The 18,905-nt window shown below is 37.4% G+C and overlaps 1 annotated feature.

Annotated features, from left to right (window-relative positions):
• Nucleotides 4,228-4,522: an enhancer, noted in NCBI's record as "tiled region #8556; HepG2 Activating non-DNase unmatched - State 4:PromP". NCBI's record gives its function as "activates a minimal TATA promoter and a strong SV40 promoter by Sharpr-MPRA in HepG2 cells {active_cell/tissue: HepG2}" and the evidence as "EXISTENCE:reporter gene assay evidence [ECO:0000049][PMID:27701403]".

Below are 18,905 nucleotides of genomic sequence, written 5' to 3'. Positions count from 1 at the left end.
AGCAACACATCAAGAAACTTTATAATAGAGAAGTCTTGAGAGTCACCACTTTTGTCACTCAGGTGATCAAAGTAAACACCATTGGACAAATTAAAATCACATGAGAGAATGCAGTGAGAGCACAATATCCCCTGTGAGAGACTCCCACCCAGAATCCATAACCTAGATCTCCTCATGAGGAAACATGAAACAAACTCAGATCGAGTGACATTCTGCAAAACAACTATCCTAGTGTTAAGGTCATTGTCGTGGGCAGAGCTGTGTCACCCCCCAAATGCATATGATGAGGCTCTAACTCCCCAGTGTGACTATATTTACAGATAGTGCCTTTAAGGGGGTAATGAAGGTTAAGTAGTCATAAGAATGGGACCTCCCATAGAACTGGTGACATTCCAAGAAGAAGAAGGGAGAGCGAGTGTGCTCTCCAAGCTTGCACAGAGGAAAGGCTGTGTGACCACACAGAGAGAAGGCAGCCGCCTATTAGCTAAGAAGAGAGGCCTCACAAAAACGAACCCTGATTACACCTTAACCTTGGACTTCCAGCTTCTATAACTGTGAGAAAATGAAGGTCTGTTGTTTAAGCCACTCCTTCAGTGGTATTTTCCATGGCAGCCCAAGCTATCACAGCCACATTTATGGAGATCTGCATTTTTCTACCATCCCTCTCTCTTTTCTTCCCTACTTATTGACATTTTAGCTAATATTTCCTAGCTTTATGATTCTTTTTCTAAATAAGGAACATTTCTTCTTGTATCCTACTAGGGCTGTAAACAATGTCCAGAGATTTACTTCTTTGAGTATTTTCCAGGGGAAGTGTGTTGTGTTCTTGCAGCTCCAAGTCTGTTTTCTAGGAACTTCAACAAGGATAAATCAAACTCTCATTTTTATCAGTTCTAAGTTAAAGAATATGATGCAATATAATATATGACCACTTTGCATAAAATTTCTGTAAAAACAATTAAGAGCTATAATTTTTAACGAATAAAAAGCATGCTTACTGCTATCAAGAAATATAAAGTCTCAAAATTAAAAGTTCATCCTCATTAAAAAAATCACTGTTCACTTCCCTGACATAAAGGAAAAAGGGCAAAAGTGTACTCTGTTATCTCTCACAGAATGGATAAGAAACTGCAAACAAACTTTAAGAGAGTGTAATGGCAGATGGGAATTGAATAATAACAAAATAAGTCTTGGATCTGCCCTCATTCTCTTTTGTGCCAGGCAAAAGTATATTTTCCGCTCTTCACTTACTACCCCAATTAGAAAAAAAAAAATGCCAGATCTGAAAGTCAAAGAGGTCCTGCATGCACAATTTAAACCTTATTGAAGATAGAACCATATGGCAACACAATTCATGGAAAGGATAGGGGGAAAATATCTATTATCACAATTTAATAAAAACAACACTTGGCGGGGGGCGGTGGCTCACGCCTGTAATCCCAGCACTTTGGGAGCCTGAGGTAGGCGGATAACGAGGTCAAGAGATCAAGACCATCCTGGCCAACATGGTGAAACCCCGTCTCTACTAAAAATACAAAAATTAGCTGGGCATGGTGGTGCATGCCTGTAGTCCTAGCTACTCGGGAGGCTGAGGCAGGAGAATCACTTGAATCTGGGAGGTAGAGGTTGCAGTGAGCTGAGATCGTGCCACTGCACTGCAGCCTGGTGACAGAGCGAGACTCTGTCTCAAAATATATATATATTTTTATTATATATATTAAAATATATATGCAAACATATATTTGTACAAATATAAATATATATATTTTACAAATATATATGTACAAATACAAATACATATATTTGTAGCCAGATGCAGTGGCATGTGCCTATAGTCCCAGCTTCTCAGGAGGCTGAAGCATGAGGATCACGAGCCCAGCAATTCAAGGCTGTAGTGCGGCATGATCACGCCTGTGGATAGCCACTGCACTTCAGCGTGGGCAACCTAGTAAGACTCCCATGTCTAAAAGGAATAAACAAATAAAAGTAACATTTGTACTATTCTATACACTGTATTTGTCCTCTAAACTTATTCACTTACTCTACAACAGAGCAACTATAGTTAGAGTTAAAATTTCATCTGTTCAGTCTCCATTGTGGAATAAAAAAGAGAACATAATTTAGAGAGATCCAGCTTTTAAGTCTGGGCTCCAACTCTTACTTTCAGAGTAACTTTTGAAAATGTATCTTAATTGTGAAATGGGGATTGTGACAGAGTTGCATAATAAGAATGAATGAGAATAAACTCAAGAATAAATTTCAGAATGTGTCTGTGAACCACAGATATATGCTGTGTAAATGAAAACTACACATTCAAACTTAAACCAAAGGAAAATGATTTTAAGAATATTTCCCAGTCTATTAATAAAAGAAAGAATATGTTCAGTGTATTGATAATTGCATCATTTAATATATAGCCCCTAACTTGGATGTCTGCTCCCAAATAAATCTTATTTTGTCTACTTTGAAACTGAATTTTTCATCTGCTAACCTATTCATCCAATTTATCCAAATGGTTCTAAATGTTTGTTTCATTTCTTGATATTTCTGTTGTTTACAGTTTTAGCATTACTAAAGAACTGTATCATTTTCAATTACTGTTTTTTCTGATCATCCATTACAACAATGTAGGACTAATTAGCTTAGAAGAGCTGGCTGTTGCTGAAATCCCTGAGGAGAATCACAAGAAGTCTCAAACTAATTTCTCTGTCAGTGGCTCATGCCAACTTCCTATTACCACCTCCTGTGATCATGCTGTGACTTTGACAACTACCCTTGAGGAAAAAGCTTTGCCAGTTTACAACAGTGAATTGCAGGCAGAACAAAGAATGGGGTAGAGTCTGATGTCATCCTTTCTTTCTTCTCTTTATGACAGGGCATATGAGGTTACCCATCTCAAGCTGTCCACATGACTTGCCACAACTCGAAAGGGATCTCCACAGTGTTGTTTCTGGCAACACATAGCTACAAAGAGATCTTTTGGCAGAGCTGTGACCCATGTCCCATGTTATATTTAATGGTATATGTAAAGAAAAAAACACAAATCTTGACTTGCTTTCCTTGGTATTGCAAAAAACGTGAATTTTTTTTTTACTAATACCCAGTAGTTTTTTAAATTTATAAAATGAAAATAAGATGAGAATTTTCAGGAACAAAAATATTAAAGCAGATATTCTCTATATATCAGAATCTATAACTACCTATTATGAATATTATTTTCGGTTTTTCATGACTTTGTAGACAAAATAGCAGACATATAGTGTGCAATTTCTAGACTTAATATACATGAGAAGAATTCAGGCAGTTTTGCTCTGCAATATAACTTTAACCATATAACATTTTTTAAAACCCTAAAGTCAAAGTTTCTCAGGGTGCAAAAGCAGCTCTAAAAAAGCTGAGATGCTTATCAGTGCAAGTAACGACAAAATATTTTTCTTTCACAACATTCAAATTATAATACAATGGCACCACCTGTTGATGGAATGGCAGAATTGAATCCTAAGACTGCAACACAATATCAAATGTTTACTGGAATTTTAAATCAAGGGATAGAACATAGGTCATTGACCATTGAACAGATAATATATCAGTGAGATGGCTAACTCACATTTGATGTGGTTATATCAATTGCTACTTTGACATTCTGGCATTCTGTAGAATGGCACAGCATTTCCTTAAGTGCTAATCATTGCATGAACATAAGAAAATGTATAATTAAGATTAGTTTTCTTACATATATTTAAATGTAAGTTTTAGAGAAAAAGTTTTTCTAACATTAAGTTTTTTCTTCCAACACATAGTTACACTGGATTGAATATGAGTGTTCTGCAGAACACATTTTGGGAAAACTAAACTCACTTTTTGGAAACACGCTGGACTGGATAAATAACCAGTAAACACATTTAAAAGTTACTCTTATAACATAGCAAACATACTCTCAAAAAAAAAAAAAAAGAAAAAAAACTGTGTCAGAGGCTTCCAAGACGGCTGAATAGGAACAGCTCCGGTCTGCAGTTCCCAGCAAGATCGACGCAGAAGATAGGTGATTTCTGCATTTCCAACTGAGGTACTTGGTTCATCTCACAGGGACAGGTTGGACAGTGGGTGCAGCCCATGGAGGGGGAGCTGAAGCAGGGCGGGGTGTTACCTCACCCAGGGAGTTCAAGGGGTCAGGGGATTTCCCTTTCCTAGACAAGGGAAGCTGTAACGGTCTGTACCTGGAGGAATGGTACACTCCTGCCCAAATACTATGCTTTTCCCACAGTCTTTGCAACTGGCAGACCAGGAAATTCCCTCCCGTGCGTGGCTCAGCAGGTCCCAGGGCCACAGAGTCTGGTTCACTGCTAGCGCAGCAGTCTGAGATCGACCTGCAACGCTGCAGCTTGGTGGGGGGAGGGGCATCCGCCATTGCTGAGGCTTGAGTAGGCGGTTTTGTGCTCACAGTGTAAACAAGGAGGCCAGGAAGCTCGAACTGGATGGAGCCCACCGCAGCTCTGCAAGGCCTACTACCTTGCTGTAGATTCCACCTCTGTGGGCAGGGCATATCAGAACAAAAGGCAGCAGACAGCTTTGGCAGACCTAAATGTCCTGTCTGACAGCTCTGAAGACAGCAGTGGTTCTCCCAGCACCGTGTTTGAGCTCTGAGAACGGACAGACTGGCTCCTCAAGTGGGTCCCTGACCCCCCATGTAGCCTGACTGGGAGACACCTCCCAGTAGGGGCTGACAGACACCTCCTACAGGAGGGTGCCCCTCTGGGATGAAGCTTCTAGAGGAAACATCAGGCAGCAATATTTGCTGTTCTGCAGCCTCCGCTGGTGATACCCAGGCAAACGGGGTCTGGAGTGGACCTCCAGCAAACTCCAACAGACCTGCAGCTGAGGGGCCTGACTGTTAGAAGGAAAACTAACAAACAGAAAGGAATAGTATCATCATCCATAAAAACCACATCCACACCAAAACCCCATCTGTAGGTCACCAACATCAAAGACCAAAGGTAGATAAAACCACCAAGATGGGGAGAAAGCGGAGCAGAAAAGCTGAAAATTCCAAAAACCAGAGTGCCTCCTCCAAAGGATTGCAGCTCCTCACCATCAAAGGAACAAAACTGGACAGAGAATGAGTTTAACGAGTTGACAGAAGTAGGCTTCAGAAGGTTGGTAATAACAAACTTCTCTGAGCTAAAGAAGCATGTTCTAAGCCATTGCAAAGAAGCTAAAAACCTTGAAAAAAGGTTAGATGAATGGCTAACTAGAATAAACAGTGTAGAGAAGACCTTAAATGACCTGATGGAGCTGAAAAACACGGCATGAGAACTTCGTGACATATGCAAAAGCTTCAGTAGCTGATTTGATCAAGTGGAAGAAAGGATATCACTGAAGGAAGATCAAATTAATGAAATAAAGTGAGAAGACAAGATTAGAGAAAAAAGAGTGAAAAGAAACAAACAAAGCCTCCAAGAAACATGGGACTATGTGAAAAGACCAAATCTACATTTGACTGGTGTTCCTGCAAGTGACGGGGAGAATGGATCCAAGTTAGAAAACACTCTAAAGGATATTACCCAGGAAAACTTCCCCAAATTAGCAAAGCAGGCCAATATACAAATTCAGGAAACACAGAGAACCCCACAAAGATACTCCTTGAGAAGAGCCACCCCAAGACACAATTGTCAGATTCACCAAGGTTGAAATGAAGGAAAAAATGTTAAGGGCAGCCAGAGAGAAAGGTCAGGTTACCCACAAAGGGAAGCCCATCAGACTAACAGCAGATCTCTCAGCAGAAACCCTACAAGGCAGAAGAGAGTGGGGGTCAATATTCAACATTCTTAAAGAAAAGAATTTTCAACACAGAATTTCATATCCAGCCAAATTAAGCTTCATAAGTGAAGGAGAAATAAAATCCTTTACAGACTAGCAAATGAGGAGAGATTTTGTCACCACCAGGCCTGCCTTACAAGAGCTCCTGAAGGAAGCACTAAACGTGAAAAGGAACAACCAGTATCAGCCACTGCAAAAACATGCCAAATTGTAAAGACCATCGACACTATGAAGAAACTGCATCAATTAATGGGCAAAATAACCTTCTAAGATCATAATGACAGGATCAAATTCACACATAACAATATTAATCTTAAATGTAAATGGGCTAAATGCCCCAATTAAAAGACACAGACTGGCAAATCGGATAAAGAGTCAAGAACCATCAGTGTGCTGTATTCAGGAGACCCATCTCGTGTGCAAATACACATGTAGGCTCCAAATAAAGGGATGGAGGAAGATCTATCAAGAAAATGGAAAGTGAAAAAAGCAGGGGTTGTAATCCTAGTCTCTGATAAAACAGACTTTAAACCAACAAGGATCAAAAGAGACAAAGAAGGCCATTATGTGATAGTAAAGGGATCAATTCAACAAGAAGAGCTGACTATCCTAAATCTATATGCACCCAATATAGGAGCACCCAGATTCATAAAAAGAGACCTTAGAGACCTACAAAGAGACTTAGACTCCCACACAATAATAATGGGAGACTTTAACACTCCACTGTCAATATTAGACAGATTAACAAGACAGAAGGTTAACAAGGATATCCAGGACTTGAACTCAGCTCTGGACCAAGCAGACCTAATAGACATCTACAGAACTCTCCACCCCAAATCAACAGAATATACATTCTGCTCAGCACCACATCACACTTATTCTAAAATTAACCACATAATTGGAAGTAAAACACTCCCCAGCAAATGCAAAAGAACAGAAATCACAACAAACTATCTCTCAGACCACAGTGCAATCAAATTAGAAGTCAGGATTAAGAAAGTCACTCAAAACCGTACAGCTACGTGGAAACTGAATAACCTGCTCCTGAATGACTACTGGGTACATAACGAAATGAAGGCAGAAATAAAGATGGTCTTTGAAACCAATGAGAACAAAGACACAATGTACCAGAATCTCTGCGATACATTTAAAGCAGTGTGTAGAGGGAAATTTATAGCACTAAATGCCCACAAGAGAAAGCAGGAAAGATCTAAAATTGACACTCTAACATCACAATGAAAAGAACTAGAGAAGCAAGAGCAAACAAATTCAAAAGCTAGCAGAAGGCAAGAAATAACTAAGATCAGAGCAGAACTGAAGGAGATAGAGACACAAAAAACCCTTCAAAAAATCATTGAATCCAGCAGCTGGTTTTTTGAAAAGATCTACAAAATAGACAGATTGGTAGCAAGACTAATAAAGAAGAAATGAGAGAAGAATCAAATAGATGCAATAAAAAATGATAAAAGGGATATCACCACTGATCCCACAGAAATACAAACTACCTTCAGAGAATAGTATAAACACCTCTACACAAATAAACTAGAAAATCTAGAAGAAATAGATAAGCTCCTGGACACATACACCCTGCCAAGACTAAACCAGGAAGAATTTGAATCTATGAATAGACCAGTAACAGATTCTGAAATGGAGGCAATAATAGCCTACCAACCTAAAAAAGTCCAGGACCAGATGGATTCACAGCCGAAATCTACCAAAGGTACAAAGAGGAGCTGGTACCATTCCTTCTGCAACTATTCCAATCAATAGAAAAAGAGGGAATCCTCCCTAACTCATTTTATGAGGCCAGCATCATCCCGATACCAAAGCCTGGCAGCGACACAACAAAAAAAGAGAGAATTTTAGGGCAATATCTCTGATGAACATTGATGCAAAAATCCTCAATAAAATACTGGCAAACCGAATCCAGCAGCACATCAAAAACCTTATCCACCATGATCAAGTGGGCTTCATCCCTGGGATGCAAGGCTGGTTCAACATATGCAAATCAATAAATGTAATCCATCACATAAACAGAACCAATCACAAAAACCACATGATTATCTCGATAGATGCAGAAAAGGCCTTTGACACAATTCAACAGCTCTTCATGCTAAAAACTCTCAATAAACTACATATTGATGGAATGTATCTCAAAATAATAAGAGCTAATTATGACAAACCGGCAGCCAATATCATACTGAATGGGCAAAAACAGGAAGCATTCCCTTTGAAAACTGGCACAAGACAGGGATGCCCTCTCTCACCACTCCTATTCAACATAGTGTTGGAAGTTCTGGCCAGGGTAGTCAGCCAAGAGAAAGAAATAAAGGATTTTCAATTAGGAAAAGAGGAAGTTAAATTGTCTCTGTTTGCAGATAACATGATTGTATAATTAGAAAACCCCATCGTCTTAGCCCACAATCTCCTTAAGCTGATAAGCAACTTCAGGAAAGCCTCAGGATACAAAAATCAATGTGCAAAAATCACAAGCATTCCTATACACCAATAACAGACAGAGAGCCAAATCATGAGTGAACTCCCATTCACAATTACTACAAAGAGAATAAAATACCTAGGAATCCAATTTACAAGGGATGTGAAGGACCTCTTCAAGGAGAACTACAAACCACTGCTCATCGAAATAAAAGAGGACACAAACAAATGGAAGAACATTCCATGCTCATGGATAGGAAGAATCAATATCATGAAAATGGCCATACTGCCCAAGGTAATTTATAGATTCAATGCCATCCCCATCAAGCTACCACTGACTTTCTTCACAGAATTGAAAAAACTACTTTAAAGTTCATATGGAACCAAAAAAGAGCCCGCATAGCCAAGACAATCCTAAGCAAAAAGAACAAAGCTGGAGGAATCGTGCTACCTCACTTCAAACTATGCTACAAGGCTACAGTAAACAAAACAGCATGGTACTGGTACGAAAACAGAGATATAGACCAATGGAACAGAACAGAGACCTCAGAAGTAACATCACACATCTACCACCATCTGATTTTTGACAAACCTGACAAAAACAAGCAACGGGGAAAGGATTCCCTATTTAATAAATAGTGCTGGAAAAACTGGCTAGCCATATGTAGAAAGCTAAAACTGGATCCCTTCCTTACACCTTACACAGAAATTACTCTAGATGGATTAAAGACTTAAATTTAAGACCTAAAACCATAAAAATCCTAGAAGAAAACCTAGGCAATACCATTCAGGACACAGGCATGGGCAAAGACTTCATGACTGAAACACCAAAAGCAATGGCAACAAAAGCCAAAATAGACAAATGGGATCTAATTAAACTAGAGCTTCTGCCCAGCAAAAGAAACTATCATCAGAGTGAACAGGAAACCTACAGAATGGGAGAAAATTTTTGCAATCTACCCCACTGACAAAGGGCTAATATCCAGAATCTACAGAGAACTTAAACAAATTTACAAGAAAAAAAACAAACAACCCCATTAAAAAGTGGGCAAAGGATATGAACAGAAACTTCTCAAAAGAAGACATTTACGCAGCCAACAGACTTATGAAAAAATGTTCATCATCAATGATCATCGGAGAAATGCAAATCAAAATCATAATGAGATACTATCTCATGCCAGTTAGAATGACGATCATGAAAAAGTCAGGAAACAAGAGATGCTGGAGAGGATGTGGAGAAATAGGAACGCTTTTACACTGTTGGTGGGAGTGTAAATTAGTTCAACCATCATGGAAGACAGTGTGGCAATTCCTTAAGGATCTAGAACTAGAAATACCATTTGACCCAGCGATCCCATTACTGGGCATATACCCAAAGCATTATATATCATGCTACCATAAAGACACTTGCACACATATGTCTATTGCGGCACTATTAACAATAACAAAGACTTGGAACCAACCCAAATGTCCACCAATGATAGACTGGATTAAGTAAATTTGGCACATATACACCATGGAATACTATGCAGCCATAAAAAAGGATGCAAAAGTTCATGTCCTTTTCAGGGATATTGATGAAGCTGGAAACCATCATTCTCAGCAAACTATCACAAGGACAGAAAACCAAACACTGCGTGTTCTCACTCATAATTGGGAGTTGAACAATGAATGAGAACACATGGACACAGGGCAGGGAACATCACACACCAGGGCCTGTCAGGCCTGTCGGGCCTGTCGGGGGGTGGGGTGCTGGGGTAGGGATAGCATTAGGAGAAATACCTGATGTAAATGACGAGTTGATAGGTGCAGCAAACCAACATGGCACATGTATGTATACCTATGTAACAAACCTGCATGTTGTGCCCATGTACCCTAGAACTTAAAATATAATAAAAATTATGAAAAATAAAATAAAAAACACTCATGCAAAAACAAAAAAAACCCACCTTATACTTGCAAGAAAGTAAGGGATACCCCATAGGAAAAACCAGAGGAAGAACCCAGAAAATAAGAGCAACAAACCAACGAACTTAATATTTTTCAGCTGTCCTGGAGGAAAGAATATGTATTTTGAGTGGCGGCAACTGGTTTCAAAGTTGTTTGGTTTGAAGGGCTCAAGACAAAATATAATAACTTGAACTTGACTAGTGATGTCACCAGTTGAAACTGAGCCATTCAAATGGCTGTACCATTAGTGCAAGTGTGGAATAGAAAAAAGAAATATCTGCCAGCCCAGGAAAAAAACATGGATGCTTGTAATCTTGACCTGGGATCTAGATGGATAAGTAAAATGTCAGTTCTGAGAATTTTTGATAATGGAGTTCCTGGCATGGGCTCAAGTTCTTCAGTCCATTTTCTATGTGGTCCAGGAATGTTTCAGCTGAGAAAGCAACATAAAATTGGCCTGTGGTTGCATCATGCATAATATCACTGGAATTACCTGGATGAACCACATTCAAAACCCTTTAGGGGACACGTACTCTCTTTAGACCATATAACCAGATAGGATTCTTGCAAAAAAAAACAAAAAACAAAAAACAAAAACAAAAACAAAAAAAACCTCCATTGAACATGGGTTCATAACTCATAAATCAGAAAACTAAAATGAAAATATTTTATTATAAGTGAATTAGTAAATACTATCATAAAAGTTCAGACAAATCTGGGAAACAATGAAATGGAACTTGTATAAATAAAAATATGTTATTGAAATTAAAAACCCAATAGGTTGGACAAAACAGATAAGACAGAGCTAAGCAGAGAATTAATACATGGAAGACTTTATTGCAGATATATAATGCTCCAGAGAGAAAGAAATGGAAAATGGGAAAGAGAAATTGAGCCATGGAAGATGGAAGAACTAAGCCCAATGTATGTCTATTCAGATTTCCATAGATGAACAAGAAATGAAATGATGGAGAGAAAATATTAAAAATGAAATGGTTGAAATGTTCTGCAAACTGATGAAAGACACAAATTCCCCAAATAACAATGTATAACACTCCCAAGCAGGATAAATAGAAGTGAAATACCTAGATAATCCAGTGGAACAGCAGAAACTTAAAGATGAGGAAGCAATCCCAAATGCAAACAGAGAAACAAGACAGGTTTCCTAAAAAGGAATGACAATTAGATAAACCACCGACCTTTCAAAAGTAACAATACATGGCAGACAACTGTAGAAAGCTATCTTTAAGGCATGCGAGAAAGCAACTCACAATATATTCATTTATTTCATGTATTTTATTTTTAATTTATTAGAGATGAGGATTATTTTTTCCTATTCCACACTTTCACTAATGGTACAGCAATTTGACTGGCTCAGTTTCAATTAGTGAAATCACACAAGTTCAACTCACTATCTTCTGGCTTTAGCCCTTAAAACCAAACAACTTTGAAACCAACTCCCACCCCACGAAACATATACACTTTCTTCCAGGACAGCTGAGAAATAGTGAGTTCTTTGGTTTATTTCTCTGATTTTCTGGGTTCTTCTTCAGATTTTGCTTATGGGGATATCTGTTACTTTCTTGCAAGTATAAGTTTTTGAGAGTATGTTTGCCATGTTATACAAGTAATTTTAAATGTGTTTACTGGTTATTTATCTAGACCAGCATATTTCCAAAAACAGTTTATTTTATTTTCAATTTAATAATCATAATAGAGACAAAGTCTCATCCCTAAAAATAAAGAAAACTGTACCTACCTTATGTTAGTTAAATGAGTTAACATTTGTAACTCTTAAACAGGGCTGGCTCATAGTAAATGCCATGCAAATGTCTGTTAAATAAAAATAAAATACATAAAATCCACCCTCCACCTTTGCCTCCTGAGTAGCTAGGACCACAGGCGCAAGCCCGGTGGTGAGCATACCCTTAATTTTCATTTCACTGGTGAAAAAACTGAGGAAGAGTTAGGTAAAGCAACATTCTCAAAGTCACATGTCTAGTAAGAATTTAGACCTTGGAATTTTATCCCACCTAAATTATCACATAAGAATAATGACAGAACAGGTCAGGGGTGGGGGTACACGCCTGTAATCCCAGACCTCCAAAAAATTAGCCAGGCATGGTGGTATGTGCCTGTAGTTCCAGCTACACTGGAGGTTGAGGTGGGAGGATCATTTGAGCCTGGGAGTACAAGGCTCCTGTTAGCCAAGGTGGTGCCACTGCACTCCAGCCTGGGCTACAGAGTGAGTCACTGTCTCCAAAAAAAAAAAAAAAAAAAAAGAATGACAAAAATGACAAAAATAAGCACCTTCTTTACAAATCAAATCAATGTTTAATGACAATAAAATTTATCATTACAAGAATTCAAAAACTATATGCTTTATGAAATGGGAAAAAAAATCCAAAAAGAAAGAAAGGTAAGCAAAGAAAGTGACAACTAGGACAGTAAACCTGAACAAACCTTGACTATAAAAACATAACACATATGAAGACTAATTATAGAGATTACACAAAGGTGAAGTAAATATTGGACACTGCCTTTCTTCTAATATGATCTTACAGATTAAATGAATTATTTGTTAGATAGATATAACAACTCTAAATGTGTGAATATCAGATATATAATATAGCAATATCTAAAGCAGTGCTCGATACAACAGCAAGAAAAGTATTGACAAATCCACCTCAACAGTGGGAGATTTAACAATCTCCTAAGTGATTAACTAGATTTAAACATTTTTTAAGGCTGTGGATGGATAAAACAATTAACTAATTTCTTAAACTGTTAGTAATACATAAAATCCTCTACCAAAAAATCAGAGAGCTGATAATTCTTCTCAATTATGCATGAAATTTTTAAAAAAGTTGACCATAAACTAAGCCTAAAAGTAACTTTCACCAAATACCAAAGTATCAGGATTATAAAAACAATTGTCCTCTGAACAAAACATAATTAAATTAAAACAATAATAAACAGATAACTCTAAGAGACGTCTGAAGGTTTAAAATCTACTTGTAAATAACAAATGGGTTAAGGAAAAAAATGGGAATCATAAAACATTTGAAATGAATGGTAATTATAAAAGTAGTATATATCAAAATTTGTATGAGACTTAGATTGTAATTTTATAGCACTAAATGTTATATTAGAATGCAGTAGGAAGGTTGAAAAATAATGAACCAATCATCCAACTCAAGGAGTGAGAAAAACAACCACCAAAAAACAGAAGGTGATTATTTTGCAACTCTCAATGGAATAATTGATTCAAGCAAGAATTTTTAGTGGCTGCTAAACCATTAAATAAAAGGCTAACAGAGAATTGAAATGACACAGAGCTAAGGTAGAGCCCACAGGTTACTTGCAGGGCGACACCTTACATGAATAATCAATGTTAGCAACACTAGTAATTAGATGACCAGCTTTTGGTGTGATGCAGTAAGAAAAAACATAACATTATTCTTAAGATATTCTTGCAAAGAAGTGTTTTGCCATCTAATTAATGTACTCAAATTAAATCGAATCAAATCTTTCCATCTAAACTTCCGATTTACGCGAAATTCCAAAACCTAAGCAAGGTACAAATCAAACATTCCTACAAGGAAACAATCAGACAAGGAAACAATCAGAATCAAACGTTCTAAAGGAAAATTGATACCATCTCTTCAACAAATTAATGTCATGAAAAAACAGGGGAAGAGGAATGTTCTACGTTAAAATATTCTTTAGAGAAATGCCATATGTTGTCATTGATCAAATCGTGACCTGTCAAAACTAGCTCTAAAAGGCGTTGTAAAACTTAATGGAGACATGCAGATAAAGAGTGATAATAAATTACTTTAGGAAATTATTAATTTTCTTGGATGTGATAATGTGGTTGTGTGGGAATGTTTTAATTTTCAGAGACGCATTCTGGAATAACTAGGGAAAAATTGTTATCACATCTGTAATCAGTTATTTTAAAATTTACCAAAAATAGATGAAACAAATGATTTAATTATTAAATCTAGGTGTGACAGGTGTTTATTATACCTTTCTCTCCATTTTTTCATATGTTTGACATTTTTAATAACACATTTCAAAAATAAAAACCAAAGAATGTAGAAGCAGCCTTGGGGGCTCTACTGTTGTTTGCTTTTGAAGGTGCAAAAGACCTCTGTCTGTCCATCTAGGCTCCAATCCCGCCTAAGGCTGCTTCCCAAAGCCGCAGAATGTTCAACACAATGCCCAGGGGCAGACGTCATTCATTCTTCAACAAGCATGACCTTCTGCCTGGACAGACGCCATGCTGCTGATCATGACATGAATTGAACCAGGGAGTTTGTTAATGATCATATGCCTTTTCCTACCCGGGTTTTCTATGCAACATTCCAATATCAGTTTTTAGCCAAGCAAATCTGGACAGCTTCTAAGAGAACCAAGAAAATTGGGAGAGAGACTGGGATAAAATTAAAAGCAGTTTCAACTCATAGAATCAATTTTGTTTTACTATCACTGACTTAGTTCAAAACTGCCAGACGTTCTTTTCTGGGCATCCAAATCCATTCAGTTTCTGAGCTTTCCCCAAAAGAAATTGTCATTCTTCTTCCAGACTATGGAAGAAGAGTTCAATATTGTACCATAATCCCCTGCCTTAGCCACAGTCTCTCTTTCCAATTTGTTACCCATGGTCAAGAAGGTTGCATATAATACAATAAGATATTTTGGGAGAGAGAAAGAAAGAGACCACATTTATATAACTTTTACTACAGTAGATCGTTATAATTGTTCTATTTTATTATTAGTTATTTTTGTTCTTCTCTTACTATACCTGATTTATAAGTTAAGGTTTATCATACGTATGTATGTATATGAAAAATCATAGTATTTTTAGGATGAAGTATTGTCTGCAGTTTCAGGCATCCACTGGGGGTTTTGGAACGTATCCCTCATGAATTTTTGCCATATTGGCAAAAGTTAAGCTGCTGGATTTGATATGTTTTTATTGGAGTCTCAATTCATCCAGAGGGGATTTGATCAGTGCTGTGAGGGAGTCACAAACATGCACAAAAGTAACAGTACTAGAGAAAGGTCTTAAGGATTAAGGGCAGGGTGTGCTATAGAAGTCCAGAAAAATGCTAAGTACAGAATTGAACCTGAGACAGGCTATGAATCATGAAGCTTTATTTCTATTAGTCTTTTTATGTATTCTTTTTGCCTTCCTTTATTATATTGAATAGAAGTGATGGTTGTAGGATGTCTTATATTGTTGCCATTCTAAAACGGAAATTTTTCTTCATTAAGTATGTTGTTGCTACAGACTTTTTGATTTTTGGTATGCATAGATTCCACCTAGATTCCTTTCATTGAACCAGTCGGTATATCCATCCCCCAGCTACTGTAAATTCTTGGCAGTTCAAAGTTTTTAACTGTCTCTTTCTACAAGGAGTAATTATCCTTGACCAAACTAGAGCCACAGGGACAATCCATGGCTAATCACTGACTGATATTGAATTGCAAAGACTGTCTGCTTTTTAAGTGCCATTGAAATGATAAGGAAAGAAAATGACAGGCTTGTATTTATTAATCAGCAACCTAAGATGAAATATGAGAGTCAAAAATGGTCCCTGGCAGCATTTAAAACAAACACGCAAAACCAAACAAAACTTACTTCCTGCAGTGGCAGAAACAAACAAAGCTGAAGGCCAAGGCAGAATTTATTTTTTGAGAGTAGGAGAATTTCAGAAAAAGCTGAATTTTCTTTGTCTTGGTGAAGGTCCTAATAATAACCAAGTGGGATCTTAGAGACTGGGGATGGGAACATCTAGCCTGAATTTCTCTTTATGTGTGCCTGTCCATAGACAACTTGAGTACCCTCACAACATGGCAGCTGGCTTCCCCCAAAGAAACAGAGCCACGAAACCAGGCAGAAATTGCAATGCCTTTGAAAATCACATCCCATTACTTTCACAATATCCAGTTGGTCAGGCAGTTGGGGTCTTTTCAATGTGGAAAGGAACTACCCAAGGACATGCCCATCAAGAGGCATGGTCACTAGTTGCCACCTTGAAGGCTAGCATTAAGAACATTTGTGATTCATGGAAGGATATCAACGTATCAACAGGAACAGGAGTTTGGAAGAAATTGATTCTAACTTTCATAGATGACTTTGAAGGGATCAAGACTTCAGTGGAGAAAGTAACTGCAGATGTGGTGGCAATAGCAAGAAAATGGGAATTAGAAGTGGAGGCTGAAGGTATGACTGAATTGCTATAATGTCACAATCAAATTTTAATGGATAAGGAGTTGCTTCTTATGGATGAGCAAAGAAAGTGGTTTCTTAAGATGGAATCTACTCCTGGTGAAGATGCTATGAACACTGTTGAAAATGACAATAAAGGATTTAGAATATTCCATAAACTTAGTTGATAAAGCAGCAGCTGGGTTGGAGAGGATTGACTCCAATTTTGTAAGAAGTTCTACTGTGGATAAAATATTATCTCATGCCACAGAGAAATCTTTTGTAAAAGGAAAAGTCAATCAATACAACAAACTGTCTTATTTTAAGAAATTTTCACAACGACCCCAATCTTCAGCATCCACCAACCTGATCAATCAGCAGCCACCAACATGGAGGCAAGACCCTCCACAAGTAAAAAGACTGCAACTTGCTGAAGGCTCAAATGGTCATCAGCATTTTTTAGCAGTTGAGTATTTTTTAAATTACAGTATATATGTCCATTGTCTTTATTAGACATAATGCTATTGCACATTTAATAGACTATGGTGTAGTGTAAATATAACTTTTATATGCACTAGGAAACCACAACATTTGTGTGACTGGCTTTATTGCAATATTCACTTTATTGTGATGATCTGAAACTCAATCGGCAATATCTCTGAGGCATGCCTGTATTTAACATTTAACATTTTTAAGAGACTGTATTAGTTTGCTTGCGCTGCCATAACAAAATAGCACAGACTGGATGGCTTAAACAGCGTAAATTTATTTTCTCGCAGTTCCAGAGTCTAGAGGTCCAAAATCAAGGTGTTGAGAGGTTTGGTTTCTTGCGAGGCCTCCCTTCCGGGCTTGTAGACGGCAACCTTCTCACTGTGTCATTACATGGCCTTTTTGGTATAGAGGGAGACATCATGCACTGGTGTCTCTTTCTCCTCTCTTTGAAGGAAATCAGTCCTATTGGATTAGAATCCACTCTTAGGACTTCATTTCATCTTAACTACCTTCTTAAAGGCTCTATCTCCAAACCCAGTTTAATCAGGGGTTAGGGCTTCAATATATGGATTTTGGAGGGACAGAATTCTGTCCATTACACCCTCCATAACCCGATATTCCTGACTCATCTCTCTTTACTAACACAAATGCTAAGATTCTGCCACGAGAGTATTTTAAGCATAAAATGCACATCCTCCCTTTTTTCTCTAGTCAAGATTTTATCCAGGTCAAACTTCTCTGGTTTTCCCCAGTTCAATGCAGAAATAATTCATACACCATCTTTGCTCCTTTATAATGTTTTGCCTAAATCATTAATAAAACTAACATAAGAATAGTATTTTTCAATGCTTGTAATTCTTTCGTGCCTAATGTTCCCTATTAAATATCACAATCGCTGTATGATACAATTATTAATAAGATCATTTTATGAATGTGGTAACTGAGCCTGAAAGAGAGTATTTATTCATTCTATCACAATCAAGAACATTAAGGAATGAGCTTTTTGTAGATCATGGCACCATTCACTGATATATGAAACATTGAGAGTAAAGCAGGGTTTGTGGGAAGAGTCATGTTTAATTTGGCACATATTAAGTTTGAGGTGCCTATGACACATCCAAGTGTGTAAATATTATATGGTTACTTTATATAGCTAGTCTTGTGTTAATGTACAAGTTGGAATTTTATCTTCTCATTTCATAATGTTAGCACAAGTGCTAAAATGGCAAATGACCTCTTTTATTCTATGTCTTAAAGAATAATGCCATAATTATTTCTCTATTCCATACACGTTTCCGATATTCTTTTTCTCCCCATTATCCCCATACATTTCAAGTTAAAGACAGCCACTTTTTAGAATCATAGAAGTGTACAGGACCTGCAGTGAATATGACCTTAAGAAGTAACCTATATTTAGTTCTCTTATTTTACAGATGAAGAAAGCAAGGTACGGCTAGTTAAATGATTCACCCAACATCACACTTACTGCCCATATGGGGACTAACATTCAGATTTTCTAATTCCATTTCAAGAGACGATTTCATTAGACCCCTGATTCCCTAACAGTATTTTGCAGAACATAAATTATATAAGAAGTTCAGTGAATGAAATGATTCAAATGTGTCTGTTAACATTAAACACAATCCCCACTCCTGGAGAGTTGCAGTGAATGACCTGTTTAAATTTATTTAACCCAGCATTTAATGACACTTCCCCTTTACCACCATGTATTAATGTCAGTAGGAGATGCAATGGGGAGTGCTACACTATGCCACCCTTGAATATGATGTTGGTGAGTCTGAAAGGGACTTGTTTGCTCAGCTGGACAAGTATTATCCTGCTGAGATAAGGTTAGGATGATGCAGAAGGAAGTAGTTTCATTTGCTTTGGTAGATTTATGCTGCTATTGGAAGGCAGAGGACATACAAATGAAAAAGTTTTAGTAATAAATGAGTATGGGATTGTTTTAATGACCCACCTAAATGTTATT

The sequence above is a fragment of the Homo sapiens genome, chromosome 10 (assembly GCF_000001405.40).
Source record: "Homo sapiens chromosome 10, GRCh38.p14 Primary Assembly".
Taxonomy (NCBI): domain Eukaryota; kingdom Metazoa; phylum Chordata; class Mammalia; order Primates; family Hominidae; genus Homo; species Homo sapiens.
Note: the sequence above shows the minus strand (reverse complement) of the source record. Positions and strands in the feature narration are given on the sequence as shown.